Consider the following 6,251-nt stretch of genomic DNA (forward strand, 5'->3'; position numbering starts at 1 on the left):
CTAGTTTCTGATGTGGGCGTTTAGTGCTATAAATTTCCTTGTTAATACTGCTTTAGCTGTGTCCCAAAGATTCTAGCAGGTTGTCTCTTTGTTCTCACTGGTTTCAAAGAGCTTCTTGATTTCTGCCTTAATTTCATTATTTACCCAGGAGTCATTCAGGAGAAGGTTGTTCAATTTCCATGTAGTTGCGCAATTTTGGTGAGCTTCTTAATCCTGAGTTCTAATTTGATTGCACTGTGGCCTGAGAGACTGTTTGTTATGATTTCAGTTCTTCTGCATTTGCTGAGGAGTGTTTTACTTCCAAATATGTGGTAGATTTTAGAAAACGTGCCACGTGGCACTGAGAAGAATGTATATTCTGTTGATTTGGTGTGGAGAGTTCTGGAGATGTCTATTAGGTCCATTTGATCCAGAGCTGAGTTCAAGTCCTGAATATCCTTGTTAATTTTCTGTATCATTGATCTAATTTGACAGCATGGTGTTAAAGTCTCCCACTATTATTGTGTGGTAGTCTAAGTCTCTTCGTAGGTCTCTAAGGACTTGCTTTATGAATCTGGGCGTTTCTGTATTGGGTGCATATATATTTAGGATAGTTAGCTCTTCTTGTTGCACTGATCTCTTTACCATTATGTAATGCTCTTCTTTGTCTTTTTTGATCTTTGTCGGTTTAAAGACTGTTTTGTCAGAGATTAGGATTGCAACCCCTGCTTTTTTTTTTTTTTTTTTTTTTGCTTTCCATTTGCTTGGTATGTATTCCTCCATACCTTTATTTTGAGCCCATGTGTATCTTTGCATGTGAGATGGGTCTCCTGAATACAGCACATCAATGGGTCTTGACTCTCCAATTTGCCAGTCTGTGTCTTTTAATTGGGGCATTTAGCCCATTTACATTTAAGGTTAATATTGTTATGTGTGAATTTGATCCTGTCATTATGATGCTATCTGGTTATTTTGCACACTAGTTGATGCAGTTTCTTCATAGTATCATTGGTCTTTACATTTTGGTGTGTTTCCGCAGTGGCTGGTACTGGTTTTTCCTTTCCATATTTAGTGCTTCCTTCAGGAGCTTTTGTAAGGCAGGCCTGGTGGTGACAAAATCCCTGAGCATTTGCTTGTCTGGAAAGGGTTTTATTTCTCCTTCACTTATGAAACTTAGTTTGGCTGGACATGAAATTCTGTTTTGAAAATTCCTTTCTTTAAGAATGTTGAATATTGGCCCCTACCCTCTTCTGGCTTGTACAGCTTCTGCTGAAACAATGACTAGGTAATTTTCAATGATCAGCTCCCTGACAGTCATATAGAATATATATATTTTTTCATCCATGGTTTCTGTCATTTATGTCAGCCTTTCCCCTGCCATTGTCCTTCTCCTCACTTTCCTCCAGAACAACCTTGCTTATTGCAGACAGTGGTAAAGCTTTTTTTTTTTTGCTGAGGTTGGGATGTTCAATAACCCTATGAATCAGGGTGATGATACAGCTTCACCTGTTTGTGAAAGTTTCTTCTTTTATATCCCCCTGATACACTCCAGGCCACTGAATGGCAAAGGTGTGTTAGAGAACAGATGTGCCCGGTGCTATTTTGTTACCTTATCTTTGGGATTAAGATTTTTTTTCAAGGAGGGACCAAAAAGACATGATAATATTTTGAAACTTTCTTTTCTGTATTTTAAATTTCCATTAGTTCATTCTGCACCACAGTTCCCACCCATTGAGTCATGACATTCTTTTCTTGAGGGGCAGCCAAGAACAAAGGAGACCATGTTCAGTTTTTGAATTCCGAAACCTGCTCTTGAAGCTAATTTCGAAGGCAGTGGTAGTGAAAAGCCAAGGCATTCACTTGCAATACCTAGGCTTGTTGAAAGAGAAATCGGAAGCATTCCTTTAAATATTAACTATTCCCTTAAAATATTAAGAGGCTAGAGGACCGAGGTAAGAAAGATTTACTATAAACCACAGAACAGAGACTATGTAGAGTATGACATAAAGGTAATTTCTCATACCTGGAAAGAAGAAAACTGAAGGGGAGGATCCCGGGGACAGAGTGACAGGCAAGCAAGATGACTGAGCCCAGAATTGGGACAAGTTCCTGGGCCTGGTCTGTATAGAGACCTCAGATGGTTCTGGAAATCACTGATGAGAAGGGGCTGGGTTAGCACACCTTGCCTGGAACTCTAGATGGAGATTATCGCCTCAAAAGGGGCATCCTTGGTAGAGCAGTGATTGTGTTGCTATTTTGTTTAAGATGACCGTGCCTGAGAAAGCCTCCTTCTGCCACCCCTGAGTCTCATTTGGATCCAGGGAGGAGACCCAGGAAGGTTCCCAAAACTGTCCCTGAGATGGTGTTTGAGAATTAGAAATCAGCATGGCTGTCAGGAGGCTGCCACAGCTTTTAACAGGAAATCAAGGATTGGTTAGCCCAAAGCAGGAATGATACGTAGGACATGGCTAAATCTCAAAATGTCAGCTGTGCATGTTAGTGCTGTGGTGAAAGCCTGGTGGAGCATTGGGAGGGAAGTTTGAGCTAGTTGAGAGCCATCACCTCCATGGTTATACTAAGAGATCAGACCGCAGATCAGCATCTCACCCTTTAAAGCAGTGATGGAAGGCAGTCAGTGCTCAGATAGGGCAAGTGACAGATGTCCTTTTTCTAATGACAGGACATTCATGAGCCCCCAAGAGTTAGGAGAATGATGTTGGGGAAAATCCTGAATATGACAACCCAAAGAGATTAAGTTTTAGAAAGAGGAGCGTAAGTTAACTTTAATAGCAATATCTACTTTTTGCTTCTGCCATCAATGGAAGTGAGGGCTCATGAGTATAATAGTCTAGATCTGTATCTTACTGTAGGGGTTTTGACCCCACGATATCACTATTCAGAGATGTATGTGGAACATATAATACCAATTTGGCCCCCCGATATGGGTTAACCTCTTTTTTCTATGAGCCTCATTTAAAATCACTCCCTGTGTTGTATTATGTATGCATGTGTTTGTCTCCTACACTTGATGGTAAACCATATGGTCCCTTGATGGTAGGGACCATATCTCATTCCTTTTTAAATCCCCAGCTGTTGGCACAGGGTCCAGTACACAATTATTTCTCAAGAAATGCCTGTTGAATGAATCCATGATGGCAAACAAATTGCGTAAATTGTGAACATTTTTATAAAAAACTATGTGTGGCATTCTAGAAAATCTGATGATTCTTGAATTGATCGTTTTGTCTGTGCTGTGGAGACATCCCTTTAGTTGATAGTTGTGGAATGCCTACAGTGTAAATCACCCCAAACACCTTTCACATATAAATCATTGAAGACTCCCAAGAATCTTATGATGTTGGTCTTGTTGCCCTTGTTTTACAGATGAAGAGACTGAAACCTGAAGAAGATAAGAAACTGATTCAAGATTTCAAAGTTATTCAGTGGGCAAGCCAGGCATTGAATGTGGCTCTAGCCTGTGTTTCCAGCTGCTATGCTCTATGTGACTCTAAATGTGCATAACAGTGTCCTCTTATGAAAGTGGTCAGAATAGTTGTGTTAGGGAACAGCTACATGATAGTATTTTCATGTAGAATGTATATTATCTCATAGATGTGTATACTCAAAGCAATGTTTAGGGAGGCTATAAAGTGTTTCAGCAAATGACAAGAATCTTCCCCAGCAATAGGGGAAAAATGACATCTATAATGTTTCTTTGAAATATTAAGAAATACTAACAGGAATTTGTCAATGTTGACTTATTATTTCTTTCAGGTGTGGGAAGTCTTAGTGAAGTCAGACAGGGGATGGAGCTTCCTCTATCATTCCTTTTGGGAGCTTCTTCATGTCAGTGGCTTGGAAAGTGGCCCTGGGCTCCTACACCCATCATGATTCTGGAAAGAGCTCCAGCTTTCTGTTCATTGGATAGGGACTTTTGGAAGGGAAAGAAGGATTAAGGTCCTATGAAGGTGGAACTGCAGCACTGGCCTGCCTGTCCCTGACCTAGTCCCTTTCGGGTATGCATGCATAAATGGAGGCTGGTACCCCCATGGGGATAATCAATGGGACCCTGTGACTTTTTCGCTCTTTAGCAGAGTGCAGAGTGCAGAGTGGAGTGACAATCTCTCTTGGGATAAATCCAGGTCCAGAGTGTCATTTTGAAGTACTGCTCTGACATTGTGTGTCTTGAGTCTGACTGGGAAAGTGAATGATTAGCAGAGACCTGGGAACCCCTGTAATATGAAACTACAGCAGGAACTACAAGGACCTTCAGCATATATTTTTATATAACTCTGGAAAACAAAGCTAACTCTTTTGACTTACCCCAAAACAAAGTAGAAAATGTTATGTAATATTTGGGGGTTATTTTAGCATGGCTTTAGCAGGTGTTCTGTCAGTAGGCACCAGTGTAACTGTAACTGATTTTTATGCATTTGAATTGGTCTATGCTTGTGCCATGTTGGCTGTTTTTCATGTTGCATATCACCTTCTGGGCTTAGGAGAGGAAAGAATATTGCCAAAATAGAACTAATTCTACAAATATATTGAGATACAGTCTTTGTTTCGCTTAATTTTTTTTTCATAGTTTTTCTAGGGTAATAAACATCAAAGCTGGCATAGTCAATGATCTCTTTCCAGAGATATGACCAGACAAGCTTCCTTTCACTGGGCTCTTGGGGGCAGTACATTTCCAGGAGGGGAGAGGAACATTAAACCACGTGTCAAGTCATTCTGCAGGAATGGAAATGTTGGTTTCTCTGGCTGTAATAATTCAGGAATTAAATGTTGGACGTGTGGCCACAGGAAGGCTGAGATTTCTTTCATAAATCATGCAGTCTTGTTTACATTGCTCCTCCTGCATTCATCTCCCTTGGAAGGCCATACAACTTGTCCAGCATGCCATTGTGTGGAATTGTGTCAGTGAGTTTGTGGGCCTCCAGATAAATCGTATCATGTAAAGAATACCTTTATAAGCCAATCCCCCACCTGGCCACAGTCCTCACAAAAAAGAATGTGCTTCGTTATATGTGATTGGAAGCTTCCAAATTGGTCTTGGCTATTTTCTATTACTTAGATGCCTCTAACTTTTCCTTAGCTACTGTGGGAACATTGCCTTTCCTAGGCTCGCCATCATTCTAGTGCCCTGAAACTTTATCAGAGGGAATACTCTCTAATCATTTTCAACTGTGCAAAGGCTTGGGACTTGACTTCTTATCACCTGTAATCCTCAGTACCATGACCGCCTTTTATTTTCCTGCCTACTTGTCACATCTTCATTGTTGGAACATAATATCTGTGGCTCACAGAATCCCACAGCTAACCAAGTGATGGATGTCCTGTCAATGATTAATCCACATTTCTATGTAGTTTTGAGTCTATTGCTTTTCTATTGATTTGTGCTAAGGGTTGAGCAACTTACTAAATGGCTGCTAAGGTTTGATTCTTCACTGCGAAAGTTTTCCTGAGTGTTTGGCTCTACATTCTCTTAAACCTGATGGTGGTCAGATGGGCTATTATTCCAGGGAAAACTCAGCAAAGCAAAGCAAAACAAAACAGAAAACACTGCATAAACTAAGAAGAATATACAATTTAGTTAAACATTTGTCATTACTAAAGAGGGCTGCATTGATATCTCCCTCTGTTGTTCTCTCTCTCTTTAGGATCTCAGATATAGAGTCTTTAGTTAATTATACTCTTTGGTTCCCAGAAGTCAGATTAGCATCTGTCCAGTGCAAAGACACTCTGTTATTTATTTGTTTCAAATTTATTCCCTTTTATCTTTATCCCACCCATTCTCCTCAGAGCTGAGGTAGATAGATGGAAAGAGTTCCAAAATCTTAGATTTGGGAATCTTATCTGTGTTCTGGGACATGAGGAAGAGGATTGTTCACTCAGGATAGTGTGAACGGCCCTCAGCAAATTATTGAGTCATTCAGATATTTTATTAAGTTGTCAACATTAGTTCTATTACCATAGGCAAGTGTTTTGATGTGCATCTTTTTGTTTCATATTGTTTTTTGTTTTGTAGATTTTTATTATGTAAATGATATTAAATGTGTATCTCATTCTTTTCCTTATTTTTTTTAGGGTCCAGCCATGTAGCTATGGACATGCCTCATTTGCTGTATTTAATTACCACATGATGCTCTGTGATGTGCCTCCAGTACATTTTGCTCATCCACTTCCAGTGATTGACTCCCTTCCCCAACCACAGCTAATGCTGCAATAACTGCCCTAGCTCAATATGTTTACCAGTTCACTGATGGGGTTTT

This window comes from Homo sapiens, chromosome 1 (genome assembly GCF_000001405.40).
Source record: "Homo sapiens chromosome 1, GRCh38.p14 Primary Assembly".
Lineage (NCBI taxonomy): Eukaryota > Metazoa > Chordata > Mammalia > Primates > Hominidae > Homo > Homo sapiens.